A 16,870-nucleotide genomic window follows, 5' to 3' on the forward strand; every position below is an offset into this window, starting at 1 on the left:
CTCAATCTCCTGACCTCGTGATCCACCCGCCTTGGCCTCCCAAAGTGCTGGGATTATAGAAGTGAACCACCACGCCCGGCCTATTTTTCCTTTTCTTTTAGACAGGGTCTCGCTCTGTCACCCAGGCTGGATGGAGTGCAGTGATGCAATCTCAGCTCACTGCCACCTCAGCCTCCTGGGCTCAAGTGATCCTTCTACCTCAGCCTCCTGAATAGCTGGGACTATAGGTGCACACAACCACACCTGGCTAATTTTTGTATTTTTTTGTAGAGATGGGGTCTTACTATGTTGCCCAGGCTTGTCTCAAACTCCTGGGCTCAAGTAGTCCACTTGCCTCAGCCTCCCAAAGTGCCGGGATTACAGGCATGAGCCACCACACTCTGCCAACATTTCTTATTTACTCATCTCTTTTCCAGGATTTGAAACTGCAATAGACAAAATAATGGTCCCCCAAGACATTCATGTTCTAATCCCCAGGACCTGTGAATATTTACTTTACATGGCAACAGGGACTTTGCAGAGGGGATTAAGTTAATCTCGAGATGTGGAGATTATCCTGGACGATCCATGTGGGCCAATGTAATTATCAGAGTTCTTATAAGAGAAAGAGAAGAACAAGAGAGTCAGAGCCAGAGACTGATTTGAAGATGCTTTGCTGCTGAGTTTGGAGATGGAAGAAGGAGCCAGGAGCCAAGGAATGCTGGTGGCCCCTGGAAGCCTGTAAGGGAAAAGGCAAGGGAAAAGCCCTCCCCTAGAGCCTGTAAAGGAACACAGCCCTGTGGACACCTTAACTGACAGCCCAGTGAAACCTCTTTTGAATTTCTGACCTCTGGAACTGTGGAATGACAAACTTATGTTGTTTTAAGCCACTAAGCTTGTGGTAATTTGTTATAGCAGCACTAGGAAATTAATACACTTACATTCAGGGGATGACACGTTCTAACTGACTGATTAACCACATAGATTTTACATGTATCTTAGATATTTTTAAAATCGTTAGACATTTGTTAATATCCACACTACTAATCCCTTTCTATTTACTATAAATTAATCTTGAAAAAAAATTACATTTTCTGCTTCAAGATTATTTTATTACTTTATTATTTACTTACTAAATAATTTAAAATCATTGATGATTAAAAGCTATTGTCATTGTAGCAAATCACTCAAATTCATAGTTGATAGAAATTGAAGGAATTTCTATCTTAGTCATTCATCTCTCTTGCATATTAAATTATATGGAGCCCAGTATGGGAATCCTAAAGTGTGTATTTGATAAAGGTACCTTGTTCAGTGGAGTCATTTTTACATTCTTCCCTATTCCATACTTTTTTTTTTTTTTTTGAGATGGAGTTTCACTCTTGTTGCCCAGGCTGGAGTGCAATGGTGTGATCTCGGCTCACTGCAACCTCTGCCTCCCAGGTTCAAGAAATTCTCATGCCTCAGCCTCCTGAATAGCTGGGATTACAGGTGTCCACTACCATGCCCAGCTAATCTTTGTATTTTTAGTAGAGACAGGGTTTCACTATGTTGGCCAGGCTGGTCTCGAACTCCTGACCTCAGGTGGTTCGAAGTGGGCAGATCTGCCCGCCTCGGCCTCTCAAAGTGCTGGGATTACAGGCATAAGCCATCACTCTGGGCCTTATTACATACTTTTAAAAACAGCAACTATAATATGGAAGCAGGGGTTATGTATGCCTGTAATCCCAAAGTGCTGGGATTACAGGTGTGAGCCAGTGCACTTGGCCTTAGTCCATACTTTTAAAAACAACTACAATAAGGAAGTTATGTATGCATGATAAGGAGGTAGAAGAAGCAGGACTTTGGGGACAGTCTCATATGACAGCTGGGACTTCAATACTATTGTGAAGAGAGATTGCAAATTAGGATAAGCAAAAAAAAAAAAAAAAAAAGAGGACAGTATGAACAAGAAGTCTTCTGGCTAAGTCAAGTACTCAAGATTGGCCAAGAAAACAAATGAAAGATTCATTAAAGGCAATGAAGAGAGTTCACAGTTTGAGAAACAGAAGGCCTTAGAGAGTTTAATCCTCTTTACAAAAAAAAAAAAAAAAAGGCTTTGTGGCAGGTTTTCTGGTATTTGAGAATCTGGAGTTATAAACAGGATGCTTCCTGCAGCATTATTCCTCTTACCTGGACTGCCTCCAGGCATTGGGAGGAACTTCTCACTGACAGCTTCTCAGGAGCTGATGAGTAGCCAGTAGTTAAAGCCCCAGGTGAGCATCGTCCTCCCGTTTGACTTTAGTCTGTGGTGCCAGATTTTTCCCAAGCAAGTCCTGTGCTTTGACATTTGATGCATTTCTGAAGTGGACTGCCTGTAATATCTCAAGGAAGGCTTCTAGTTATCTTATTCTTAGACCTCGAACCTTCCCCTTTCAAGCATGAAACCAAAAAAGCAAAGTGTGATGTTGGGTCACTTTGCTGCTTCTACCCACCAAAAGTTTGTGTCCAACCTAGTTGAAAGATTTCTTTCAAGCACAGATGAAATTTCAGCACCACATTATATTCTCATTCAATGAACACAGCTCTTCTTGTCAGTATTAAATTAGTAGCCAGTAGGCTAACTTCTACATCCTTATAATCGCCTCAGTTTTTTTTTTGAAAGAGGCAGAAATATTTCTGCTCAATATTTTAAGACTCAATTTTAGCGAGAGGAATCTTTAAAGAGCTGTACCTGACCTTGTCTTTAGGTCCTTTTGTTTACCTGAAACGTCTACACTCTCTTTTGCACAGTTTTTCTTCAAACCTATTAGACTTTCTTGTGGTTTAGACCAGAGCTCTTAATCAGAAACACAATTGGGGCCGGGCGTGGTGGCGCATGTCTGTAATCCCAGCACTTTGGAAGGCCGAGGTGGGCAGATCACTTGAGGTCAGGAGTCCGAGACCAGCCTGACCAACATGATGAAACCATATCTCCCCTAAAAATACAAAAAGTAGCCGGACGTGGTGTCGCGTGTCTGTGATCCCAGCTGCTTGGGAGGCTGAGGCAGAATCGCTTGAACCCGGGAGGTGGAGGTTGCGGGGAGCTGAGTTCATACCACTGCACTCCAGCCTGGGTGACAGAGCGAGACTCTGTCTCAAAAAAAAAGAAAGAAAGAAAGAAAGAAAGAAGCACAATGGGAGTCACAAGCATAACTGCAAATTTTCCAGTAGTTACACTGAAGAAAGAAAAAAGAAAAAAAGTGGTGAAATTAATGTTACTAATATATTTTATGTAACCCGATGCATCTAAATGTATTATTATTTCAACATGTAATCAATATACAATTATTAATGGGTTATTTTACACCGTCTCTTTTTACACTAAGGCTTGGAATGAAGTGTGCCTTTTACACTTACATCACATTTCAATTCAGACAAGCTTCTTTTCAAGAGCTCAACAGCTGCACATGACCAGTAGATAATACATTGGAAAGTGAGGTCTAGCGTCTCTCCCTTCACAGACCTCAGGAAAATCCTCCCCTGAGTATTATCTCCAGTATCTTTAACTTTCCACTGGATTCTTTTTCTCTGCCTTGAAACATGCACAGCACTCCCTTGAAAACTCTTCACTTGAATTGTAACCACTTTACGTTTCATTTCTCAATTTCCTATCCCTGATCAGCTCTTTAAATAAAACACAAGGCTTTTTCATTGCATTTGCTGTTGCTGACTCCTTGCTGCTTCCCCACCTTAGGTGCCTTTTCCTATTGTCTGCTAGGTCTCTTCTTGTGTCTCCTTTGCTGATTCATTGCACTCTGACCCCTAAGAGAAGGAGGTCGGGGAAGCCAGCGGTTCCCACACTTTATAGAGTGCCTCTCCTGGAGGGCTTCTTACAACTTAAATTGCTTTAGCCAGGCATGGTGGCCTGTACCTATAGTCCCAGCTAATGGGGGTTGGGGAAGAGGGGGTTGATGGGGGAAGCCCAGGAGTTTGAGGCTGCGGCTATGATTGTGCCACTGCACTCCAGCCTGGGTGACAGAGCGGAGACCCCCATCTCTAAAAAAATAATAACATAAAGAAACAAAAACTTGAAACCTAAATTGCTGTGCCGTACCTCCAGAGTTTCTGATTCTAGACATCCGGGGTGAAGGCGAAGAATTTGCATTTCTAGTGAGTTCCCAGGTGAAGCCGAGGCTGTTAGTCTGGGGACCACACTTTGAGAACCACTGTGAGGTTCAGTCCTCGGCGCCTCTAGCCTTGCTCCCTGCAGGTGCCTGCTCCCCAGCCAGGCCCCCTCTTGCAGTTGTGGGAAGCTCGATTCTGTGCAGTGTCCAGGTGGCCTGGGCCTTGGAGTTGACTGGCCCTCATGGTGTCACGGCTGACCTTGTATTAGTGAATCCTGGTACATGGGAAATGAACTTCTTCTGGCCAGTGATTGGTTCTGACAAATGAGACCTGGGGTTAGGGGGAGTCCAGGAGGTTTTCTTACTCTGGAAAAGAGACACGAGGCTGGCTTGTTCTCTTCCTGCTTCTGGACACTGTGGCCTGGGGGCATCACCCAGAACTACGAGTCGCCCTGGGCCGCTGGGGGAGCAGGCCACAGAGGCCAAGCCGCACACTAACCTCAGACACAGAGAGGGAAGACAGAAGGGCTCCGGAGCCCTGAGGAGTTCACTGAGCAAGGAAGGGAGCATCCTGAGGCCTCTCTCCTGCGGTATGAGTGACAGTGGGTACACACCTCCTTTGGGCCATTTGTAGCTAGGTTTTCTGGTACTTACTGCAGGAAACCTCCAACACTTCAAAAGCTCCCACCTTTTCCTCCTCCAATTGCTATGTCTGGTTGGCTTTTTTCTGAAGCCTTTTTGCAATCCCACTTCTTTCTGTACTGAATTCTCTCCCTCCTCCCCGTCTTTCTTGCTCTGTCAAAGATGAGAGCAGGCCAGTCCCTGACATTTTCAGGACTTAGGACGGGAATACAAATGAAAGGTCCTGGCCCTCTGCCCCACCCATTTCTCTTCCCACACCTGGATCCACACCATACCATGAGCAGGATACACAAGGGCACCAGCGAGTGTGTCCAGGTTTTGTCCATCACTCCCTCCTCCCAGCAAAACCTCACTCCTTGGCCATCCTTCATCCAAGGAGGGCACACACTGATGCCTGGTCAGCAGTGGGAGGGCAGACCTGGAGAACAGCTTTGCAGGCCTTGGAAGGGGCCTCAGGGCCAACTGACTGGGAATTCTACCATCCCAGGTACCTGGAGCATGGCCCACAAGTGGGGCAAGGGGAAGCATGGGCTTGGGGGCCTGCAGACTCATCATGCTGCTGTGAGGGGCATGGACAGAGGAAAGCCACAGAGGGGTCTTCTGACACAGGGCACAGGACAGTGGCTTGGGTTGCTCAGGTTTCAGGGAGGACTGGATGCAGGATGCTAACATGATTGACCAGGTTCTTGGACTCTGAGTCACATACAGTAAAGGATCCCTTCGCCGTGTATTAACAGGTCATGGGCAACACTTTGATCTTTCTTTGGTACAAGACAGTAGAAGATATTACCTTAGGATATTGATTCTCAAAAAGATCTGGGAATTTTTGCTTGAGATTAAAAAAATATATATGATGCACAATCAGGCAGTTACGTCTCAGTGGTAAGAATTTTTGTTTGCTACCACTTTTAATATCTGCAGTCCTTCTTTTTTGGATTCATTTGCTGAAATAAATTCCCTAGTTATTCTTTCAGAAAGGACGTCATCGGGTAAACTTTGTCCAATCACTCATCGTTTCTTCACATTAAATTTGAGTTTGAACTGGTAACAAACTAGTATTCATTTTCCCTGAGCACTTGGGAGAATTGATCCAATGACTGCTGGTGTGTAGAATGAATTGCGATGAAACATCTCATCCTACCTGCTCCTCATTCCCTTGTAAGTAATCTGTGTTCACTTCTCCCTGCAGCCTGGAACCTTTATATATTCATATATTTATTTATATGTAAATATTCTGAACATTTACCAAGCTGTGTACTTCAGGGAAATTTTCTTTTAATTTGGTCAGTATTTTCCCTCTTCCATTTTTTGTTCTTTTCTTCTGAAATTCCTATTTGATAGACGTTTGAGGTTTGGCTCTATCCATCATTCCTACATCACTCTTCCCATTCTTTCCATCCCTATGCTTGTTTTCATGATATTTTTAGGAATCCTTCCAGGACATTTATTCTTTAGTTGTATGCATTTTGCTTTGGACTGACAGCGTGTATCTCCCAGGAGTTTTAAAAAGAGTGGCTTGGTCTTATTTTATTGAATATTTGAGGACAAAATGATTACATTTCTTTGGTTATTATGCTTATCTGAAAATTGTCTTTGCTTTTTTTTCTGTTGACAAGGTCTCCTTGGGGTGAGTTAGTTCTTCAGTTTGTTGATTTGATGCTTCTTGTAGGTGTTGGTGTTCTTTCAAAGTTTGGTGATTCTCAGTTATCTATTCATGCTCATGTTGAAGGACTGGTTGAAGACTGAAAATTTCCTCAATCCAAATGAGAAGTGCTGTTTTCTATTCATGTGCATCTTGATCTCTTCTGTCTGCCTTCTATAATTGTGGGGAGAGCAGGATGGGGGAGACTGCTTTGCTTTGGGGGTGCCAGAGGGGATTTTTCCTTAACTGGAACATAGCCTTCTTGGCCTCTCTTGTTACAGTCCTCACTTCAGAATACCCACTTGGAGGCTTCACCTGAAGCTGGGCCAGTTCCAGCTCCAAAGGCTCCATTTCATTGCCCCCCTCACCCCCCAGGGTTCTACTCTGCTTCTCATAAATATAAACCAGCAGAAGAGCTTTTCCTTTGTTGAGAGCACAGTTGCTGGGCCTTGTGAGGCTGAAGGAAAGTGTGCAGCTGCCTGGACTCAAATGTGCATGAGGATGAGGTGCCCAGGCTACCCTGCTCTTCCAAGACCACCTCCTAATTACTGACACATTTGCCCCAGGTCCCTTTCTTGTACAGTTTGTCTCTGAGCTTCTCTCCTGGGCTGTGGTTTGTTTTTATCCTTTACCTTTGAAGCTCCATTCTCTTCTGTGTACTTTGGGCTGTTTTTTTTTTTTTTTTTTTTAGTGCAATTTTATACTTAATTGGATTACATTTGCCTTCTGGTTCTCTGCTTCATATTTTCAGTGTGATTATGGATTGATTCTTTGTTTCCATTGCAAGTACCTTGATATATGCCCTTGTCCCTCACCAAGGCTGTAGGTGTATCTTCTATGGGATCTCTAGTGTAAGCCCCTTCAGCTCACGTCCAACACCTAGGCTATCTGCTGTGACAGCCACTGGCCACATGTGACCATTGAGCCCTAGATTTCGAAGACTTTGTACAAAGAAAAAGGAAGGTAAAGCCCTTAAGAATAATGTAAATACCAATTAAAGTTTGAAATTTTAATATTTTGGATGCATTGGCTTAAACATAGCATTAAAGTTCATTTCATTTCTTTCTTTTTATTTCTATAATGTTGCTACTGGAAAATTTAAAATCGTATACGTGGCTTGGGTTATATTTCTATTGTTCTACACTGCAGGAGGCGTCATTCCTAAGATAAAATTAGGAGGAGTGGGTTAAGATGATGAGCTGGATATGTATACACACTCCCTATTTATTCTCAAATCTCAGCATAAAACACAAAAGTGTAAGATAATTTACACTCTTTAAAAAAGGGGCAGTGCAGACAGGAAGAACACCAGAGGTAAATTTCTTTGGCAGAATTTATGTGATTTAGGGATCTATTTATCATTAGTGGAAAGGCAGAAAAAGGCCCAGGAAAAAATTCAATGTTTCCACCTTGGGAAAATGGGCCAATAGTTGTCCTGTTAATGATGTGAACTGGGAAGCTGTAGAAGGAGAAAAGAGTCTGCGTGAATACGGCAGAGGTGGTGAGAAGACAACGAGTTTGGTTTTGCATTTGCAGTGTTTGAGATGTTCCTGGACTGTCCACATGTTCAATAAATAGATGACAGAGTGAGCAATGCTGGGAAAAGGGCATAAGGCTGGAGATACGAGATGGGAATCTTCGCTAGGAGTTGTCGCTGCAGTGGATGAAATCCCCAGGAGCACCGCTACTGAAGAGTGGGCTGATGAGGAAGAGCCTTGAAGGAAAAGGGGGTATCAGCAAGAAGAACCTTGATAAACTTCTATACACGAAGGCCTAACATAGCAATGATACATGGTAGCCACTTAGTGTTTCAGGAGTTACTAGAATACCAGGTGTGCTTTAACCAGCGAAGCATGTTATCAATCAAGGGTTTTTAAGAGGTGGCACAAAAACAGGAGAAGGAGAAAGTGCAAACTGTGGACAAAGAGAGTTTGCCCTGGGAACAAGGGAGTCTCACTTTGGTTTTGATTGGGATGAACAAATCTTGCTCTTACTCTTGCATGCTTATAAAAGATTCTACTAAGAGACTTAGCCACAGTAGGAAATGTCACCAAATTTACGTGAACTCCAATTTAAAAAAGAATACAAAGACATTTCAAATCCTAACCACCTGGCCAGAGGGTGATTCCTGTTGTTTTTAAGGCTATAGTGATAGAATTTCAAAGGTGAAAAGATCTCTTTGTAAACAAAGAGATCTTTGTAAACAAATAGAGGCATGGATTCACTTTATTTCTTTTCTGTGGCCTACATTTGTAACACAAAACACTGAACAACACCACAAAGCCTAGAATCACTGTCAAAATGTCAATATGGGCACTTGGACTAATTCTTAAGTTAAAGTGAAGGATATTCTGGAGGACCTGAATGAAAGACTTGACTGAGTTTCTAATGTTTTGCAAAAAATAAGTAGCCAGACAAGGTTGACTTAAAACCATAATCTATGGTGGTGGATCCAAAATAAATCTTAAGAACAACATAAAGACAAAGGCTTAGCAGCTCAAGCCATCTGTTTTTGGAAATTTTGGCTTTTGGGATTTAAGAACAGATTTAAATGTATGAATTTGTCACTGATTGGAACAACCCATTATCTAGATACTGGAGTAGGTTGTGATCAAATCATAACATAATACCTAAAGAGGCATCAATATAGTGTTGTAGAAAGAACAATAGATTTAAAGTTCCTCCACTCAACAAACATGCTTGTGTGTGTGTCTACTACCCTGCAAGTACTGTTCTAAATAATAGAGTACAGGCCAGGCACGGTGACTCACATCTGTAATCCCAGCATTTTGGGAGGCCGAGGTGGGCTGATTACCTGAGGTCAGGAGTTCGAGACAAGCCTGGCTAACATGGCGAAACCCCATCTCTACTAAAAATACAAAAATTATCCAGGCGTGATGGCATGCACCTGTAATCCCAGCTACTCAGGAGGCTGAGGCAGGAGAATTGCTTGAACCCGGGAGGCGGAGGTTGCCGTGAGCCGAGATCCTACCACTGCACTGGGCGACCGGGTAAGACTCCATGTCAAAAAAAAAAAAAAAAAATAGAGTACAGCTATTAAGAAGACAAAATCTCTGCCTGCCTGCTTGGAGTTAACAATGTAGTTGTCAGATACAGACAAATACTTAAGTAAACAACCATATGAATAATTTTAAATAATAAGTGCCCTGAAAAAAATAAAAATGGGACACAGAATGATAGGGTGGTAGAAACCACATTCGCTAATGCGGTTGGAGGGGAGCACTACAGGGAACAGCAGCTAGAAAGGGTGAAAGCTCAGAGGCTGGAGAAGCTTGTTATGTTCAAGAAGGAGAAAGGGGGCCAGGGTGGCTGGAGTTTCACAGGGCTTGGTGGGTGGGGAAGTAGTAGGAGATGAGGATGGAGAAGTAGTGCTCTATTTGCCTTAAGAAGTTTGGATTTGGTTCTATTTGTTGGGGGGAAGGCTTTAGCAGGTTTTAACCACGGAACTGTTATGATCTAATTCACCCTACCACAAAATCACTCCAGCTGCTCAGTGGAGAATGAACCATTGGAGGTAAGAGTGGGAACTGAGGAATGAATTATGAAGCTATTGCCATGGATTAGGGGATGAGAAAATCTCTGGTTGCAGAAGATGAGATACTAAAAAAAATCGGACTAGAAACTGTTTGGGAGCCAAAACTGATCAAAGGGGTTTTGGAAAGATAGCACAAAAAAGAAATCCAAGACAATGCTTAAGTTTTTGGCTTAAGCAACTGATATATGGGGATGATATCTACTGAGGCAGGAAAGACGGGACAGAAGTAGGCTTGAGGTAAGTGAGGATTTTGTTTTGGACCTGTTACATTGGAGATGTTTATTAGATATTCAAGTGGAGAGGCCGAGTTGGCAGCTGGATTAACGAGTATGAGGTGAGAGGGGACGTCTGAGCTAGAGATAACAGATTTGGATGACATCAGCATGTTGATGTTATCTGAAACCTTGGGACTAAATGAGATCATCTAGGAATAGAGGAGAAGGTCATCAGGAAAAGAGCTGCTTGGGGCATTCAATGTTCTGAGGTCCAAGAGAGGAGGAGGAGGAGGAGAAAGCCAGGTTTTCTAAGAGAAGTGGCCAGTGAAGCAGAAGGGAAACCAGGAGGTGAGGTAGTCCAGAACCTGGAGAAGAGAGTAGTTTAAAAAGGAAGGACTAGTCCACTGGCTCAAACTGCTGAGTGACTAATCTTATTTTAATATGTCTGTGTAAATATGGCAGTGCCTGTCTACATTGGTGGAGGGAATGTGCCTACCACATTGTAGAGGGCATTCCATAAATACTAACTTATCTTTCTTCCTCAAAACAGTCGCTGGGCTCCAGCCAGGCACTGCCAGGCACTGTGGTAGGCACTGAGCGAATCAGCAAGGAATGAGAAATAGATTATGAACTGATGAGCTCACAGTGACTTTAACCTTTGCAGATATTTGTCCTGGCATTGCAGAGTTTTATTTAGAACAGTGATTCTCAAGATGTGGTACTGCGATCAACAGACTCTGCAGAACCTGGGAACTCATTAAAAATGCAAATTCTAGGGCTTCACCCCAGACCTACTGAATCCCAGACTCTGGGGTTGAGGCCCAGGAACCTGAGTTTTAACAATCCCTGCAGGTGACTGATGCCGGCTGAAATTTGAGAACCACTGGTAAGGAGGAGAGCAGGCTGTCCTCTGCAGAGCTGTCATTTAAGCTCCATTTAAACATTATAGTCTCTAAAGAGAAAGTGTAAAACAGATGTAATGGTAGTATTGATCACTCTCTGTTTCATTTCTGAAGCCCATACTTGGTTATTTTGTCTTAAAGAGCATTTGACTCTACTTTTGGCTTCAGACTATGTGGAGCTATTTTTAAAAATTCGAGTTTATGTATTTCCACAACTAAGTATAACTGTTAAGGGCTTCTGAGAAAATCACCCAACTATGCAGATTGATCCCCACACACACATATAGGATAAATGTGTGCCTCTCAGCTGCACTGGACACCTAACACCGAGAGGCAAGCCATACTTCCCTTCTTAGGACTCCTTCACATTCTCCTTGTGGCTGTTTTGAACATTTCATTTGTCCATTTGCTTATCACTACCAATAAATCATCTTACTGCTTACTCTTCACAGATAAAATAAGTTATTGGAAAAACTTCCTGACACTAATCCAGAATATGTAACTAGCTCTATCACATCTTTCTGCTTTTGATCATGTTTAGATGAAGGAGACATAACTGCTCTAATCTGAGCATAAATTTACTGGGACCTCACCCTGCCCCACTTCTTTCTCCTGTATCTTAAATCCTTCACTGACCCTTAGTATCTTTCCTTTAATATTTAAATATGCTAAGATACTCTTTCATCTTAAAAGGCAACGCTAGATCTTACCCCAATTTCACATCATTTTTACGCAGCTATTGATCTCCACTTTTTATTTTATGCAGTAAAATTTCTAGCACTTGTCTATCTTGTTCCCTTTCTATCCCTATTAATCAGTGTGTCATTAGCTCATGGCAGGCACTCAACTAAGACCTGCTGAATAAAATGGCTAACTATACACCTTAAAAAAAACTTGAAAACACAGAAAGTTACTGAAAAACATATTTTGTGCAATCTCTTTACCCAAACAGACCATCACGGAAGTTTTAAATAGTTAACATCTTTATATTTGTATTCCTGGCTTTCAAAAGACAGATCACAGTTTGATGAAGTTTTAGAGAGAACACAGTAATATTTGGAGGCTGATTTCAAACCAATATTCAATTATTTGTGCAAATATTATTTAGAACAAGTGGAGGTAATTGAAATTCAAAGAAAATGCCTTTCCTGAAAACTGTGAATCATCATACCCAATCAAACTTTTATTGGAACAGCTAATAAGTAATACCATGCAAGGGAGGTTTATTTTTTTCTTCCTTGTCCCTGCCCAGCTATGTGGAACTAATAATCAAAATAATTAGCAACAAGAAGAGAAATATAATTAAGAGGACCTGGTAACAAACAAAACTATTGATTTCTTTTGAAGAAAAATGACACGGCATTCTTTCTCCAACTTTCTTTTAAAAGACATTTTGCAGGTGGCAAGAGACCAGCGAGACAACAAAGGAAAGAAGTTAACTAATGAATGAACAGCACTGGGGACATAGGATGTATATTCTGAAAGAGAAATACTATTTTCCTTAACAATATTCAAAGAAAATTATGATTATTTTGCTACTATGAAAGAGTTTACAAGGAAAAATTTGAAGATTGAAGTAGTTCAACTTTCCAGGTCAAACTATGCGAACTTCCATCTGCCAAATTTTACAGCAATTCTATTAAAAACAATATACTAGAAATCTCACTAATGATCATGTAGTCAATCAACACACCAATAATTGTCATCTGAAAAGAAATACAACTTTTAGTCATTCCTTCTTGAAGACTAAGTGGCAGAGAAAAACAGTGAGGTCTCCTACGGTTACCACTGGTTTTTGCAAAACGTTCTGTCACATTTTACTCAATTAGGCGTTGACTGAGTGTATTACACCGCTGACCCATTCTAGCCGTAGGAAAAGAATATTAAAGAGAAAAGGGTGCTTGTTCTCGAAACAAAATAGATATACACAGAAAGACAGTGGTTTAAGACCTTATTTGTAAAAGAGATCCAGAAAAAAGTAGAAGTACCTGTCCTTGCAGAAAAACTGTGGCCCAAGTTATAGCAGTTTCACGATTTCGGTCTATTCTTAAAAAAAATCCTACCAAAGAAATTAGCACAGATGCAGCTCTTCAGTATTTTATTTTAGTAGTGACTATCCACAGATTATGCAAAATCAAAATTAGGCCCTTAATAAGAGTGCCAGCTTCCTTCTGCCAACTATTCTATGTCTGTCAGCTTGCAGTTAAGGAGGCTCTAGCCAGCGATGATCCTTATATAATTTTTTAATGTGTTTCACGTAAAGGGCCTTTCTTGAATAGAATATGTAAAGGAAAAGACTCTAGGATTAAATACTTCTGATAAAGGGCCTTCTTAAGACTATCAGTCCTGTCTGTGTCTGTGTGTTAAGATGGAAAGCACACGAACAGAAGTCAGCAGATTTGTTGTGTTACGATGTGGGTGTTTAATCAGTGCTTAATACTAGTGGTAAGTTTGATTAATGTTTGTCTTTGTAGGTAAAGCAACAGAACACAGTTTTCCAGAGCAACATGAAGCAAACGTATTACAAAAATGAAAATGCAAAATTTAAGATGAGTTGACTACCATTGTACTCCTGCAATTTCCCTTGTCATCATTCTCTTCTTTCATATAAAAATATGATTTTATTGAATTTTATTTTGGCTAAATAATCAGAGTTTTAGTTTTAAATCTCATAGAGAATAAATGAGATGAATTCTTTGCATATTTTCAAACCTCGGAGTTCCATGACAATATGACAACTAGAAACAAAGGAAAAGAAAATAAAACAATTTCATCCCAGTATTCTTATTGAAGCCATTAGGATCAATTTTGTAGCACTAATAATAAAAAGCTCTCCAAAGAAAGAGAGCTTTGGTAATGAACCTTTGTACTTTAACTCAAATACACTGTCAAAAGCGATTTTACAACAAATGTGAGTGCTACAAATTACAGCAAATATATAATAGAAATGTGTGGGACATGAGAGAGAAATGTTGGCCTCATCAAGAAGTACATCTTCTAGAAAATCTAAAAAATAAAGAGAAACAAAGAAGATAAACATCTTGCCCCATATTAGACTGCAAAATAGTAATACAGTTTCACTCTTAGTTTTTAATCAATTAATTCTCAAACAGGTACTAAATTTAGAATGAAGGATATGTTATTACTAAATCATATTAGAGATATCTTGACATTAATATTAACATTAAAAATCTGGAAGCAAAAGGGTTTCTTCCCCCTAATTGAACTGAAATCCACTTTAATATCAACTGGGATTCAAGAATAAAATATAAGCCCCTGCCCTAGTTCTGAGGTCCCCATAGGAGCCCTGCATCCTGGGCCTATGAGGTCTGCTTCCACCCTTGTCTCTGGGCTAGGTATGCATTTATTTCCAGAAGTGGGAAATGCTGGAATAGAGATTTAAGGCCTAATCAAGCATTGAGACAGCTGGAACCACCTTCCAGTTTCACATCTGTCCCCCTCTAGCACCCCACATCTATTCCAGGTTATTGCAACCAAAGAACAGCTCCCTCTGCCTGCCTTCTTTCGGTAGCTACAGCACAACCTCAAGGTCGCTTTTCTCCACCCAGCTTTCAGTCTGTAGCATTGACCTAGAGAATGAACCAGACTCTGGCCTCTGGCAAGAACTTTGCAGTAAATTGTTGACCAGTTTGTGATGGTAGTTTCTATTATTTCTTTTCAGAGGTAGGAGTTCTTTTCATGCTAACTGCTTTCCATTAGTTTAGAATTAAGTCCTCTAAATCAGTGGCTTAACATTTTTTTTGACTGCTACCGATGGTAACAAATTTTACATCCTAACCAGTATATATACAGGGAAATACATACATAAGACATTTATAAAATGTATGCTAACATATATATGACATAATATCACATATGTGTGCATGTATACCTGAAACATGTTTTGTAAATAAGTCCAATGTATTTTGCCTATTCTATTCTTTTGTTTTTTCTAAAAAAGTATTGGTATGTGTAATTGACTGGTATGATGCACCCCCAAGTGTTTGCAGACTGCATTTTATATTGTTCCAAGACTTAACTTTTAAGACTCTTTTGTCCATCTATCCTTTGGTAAGCTAAGCTGTACTAAGGATAACATAGAGAAATATCAGTGTATCCAAAAAGAATTCCTGGCTGATGGTTTTGAAGAGTCACAGGGCAATAGGTTTAGAAAATCTTGTTCTCTAAATAGCAATAAAACTTAAACCTGGCAAATTCTTAAGTATCTTTCATTAAGCAATCCATGGAGTTTTATTTTAATAAGCATAATAATTTTCATGACAGCCTTAGTGAATATTGAGGGACAAGAAAAACTCAAAACCAGGGTTTTATGCAACTGTAAAGTGCTGGTCCAGTTGAGTAAGGGAGGATCCTGTGAATTAACTAAGGGAAGACTCTTTACTTGGGTTCTCATCAGGAGACCATGAATAGCTTTGGTCATTTAACGGTGTCCAACTAACAAGATAACAATCCTGTAATGTGTAAGGTTTCAGTTTTCAAGGATATAACTAAAGAAGTGTTTTCAATTAAAATATTACAGTTTACCTTGTTTTTAAATTTTTTATGAGTTTATAAACTATATAATACCTCTTATAAAAAATACAACACCTCAAGGCCTATATAAAAAAAAATTATATCACTAGGCCGGGCATGGTGGCTCATGCCTGTTATCCCAGCATTTCTGGAGGCCAAGGTTGGAGGATCACTTGAAGCCCGGAGTTCGAGACCAGCCTGGGCAACATGGCAAAATTCCGTCTCTATTTAAAAATAATTTTAAAAAATTATATCTATCTATATCAGTTTATATATAACTCTCCCTAGTCCTCTGGTTGATTCATTCTGTCTTTTCTGTCTTCAGTTATTTATATTCAAACATGTTTCCTTGGTGTGTTTGAGGCAGTTGAGTCACACACACACACACTCTCTCTCTCTCTCTTTCTTTCTTTCTCATAGTTTTAGAATTATACAGTGTTTGGGATATAGATAAGTAGATCTGTGGGAACCTGATTATTAAGTGACTAGATTCAGTCCCTGGCATCCGATAGTCCTAACTAATCTATTTTTTAAGAAGCAACTATTGAGCACCACTGTCCACGTAGGAACTTTGTTATGTTGAGCTCTCAGCTTTCCTGAGACTCCTGTGACACCATCACAGCAACATGACACCTCAGGGAGGGAGGTTTGGGCAAATCACACTAGCTCCCCCTGCCCTGGCCAGCAACACTGAGAGGCAGATGGGCGGGGAGGTGCCTATCCCTAGCCTGAAGCCAAAAGACTTTCTTTTCTGTTCCCCAATCTGTGTTTAGAGACCCAAAGAATAAGCCCATAGGGCAGAGGACTTTTATTCTAAAAGAGGCTCTATTCTACATTAATTAGGCTTCAGACTCCAAAAGGATAACAAGCGTGAGCTCAAGTAAGCAAAGCCTTTTTGCTGCAGGGTGTTGTGTCTAATAGCTAATTTAAAAATATCAACAAATCACTGTCCAAAGAAACTTAATTCTGGGACTATTAAGGTATTATCATCTGCTTGTTTTTATTCAAGTTGAGTAATCCAATCTTTATTGAATACTTACAATGTACAAAATAATTTCCTAGATTCTATAAGGAACACAGAAACTAAGATGGTCCTACCTTCAGGCTGCTGCTATCTAATTAGAAAAAAACCATTTTCAGTAAAAGAGAATAGTCAGAATAGCCATAGCCAAAAAAAAAAAAAAAAAAAGTCAATACATTTGCTTTTAATCAGGTTGTAAGATTTATCTGGAGCCAATGACAAATAATAAGCTACTAGTCATTTCCGTCCTGGAAGCTGCAATTCATCTCAGTTTGTATGAGCTCCGTCACCTTTG

The 16,870-nt window shown here is 40.6% G+C and overlaps 1 protein-coding gene and 1 long non-coding RNA gene across 12 annotated transcripts in view; one reads left to right on the forward strand and one right to left on the reverse strand.

The window, feature by feature from the left end:
• DLGAP1 (DLG associated protein 1) overlaps positions 1-16,870 on the reverse strand; it is a 959,276-nt gene that overhangs the window by 460,535 nt on the left and 481,871 nt on the right. The gene's annotated exons all lie outside the window — the stretch shown is intronic.
• The window catches only part of DLGAP1-AS4 (DLGAP1 antisense RNA 4), a 51,591-nt gene continuing 40,507 nt past the window's right edge, over positions 5,787-16,870 (forward strand). The window contains exon 1 of the long non-coding RNA NR_102696.1: positions 5,787-5,864. This is a non-coding gene — a long non-coding RNA (DLGAP1 antisense RNA 4). The remainder of the gene's footprint in view (positions 5,865-16,870) is intronic.

The sequence above is a fragment of the Homo sapiens genome, chromosome 18 (assembly GCF_000001405.40).
Source record: "Homo sapiens chromosome 18, GRCh38.p14 Primary Assembly".
In the NCBI taxonomy this organism is placed as follows: Eukaryota; Metazoa; Chordata; class Mammalia; order Primates; family Hominidae; genus Homo; species Homo sapiens.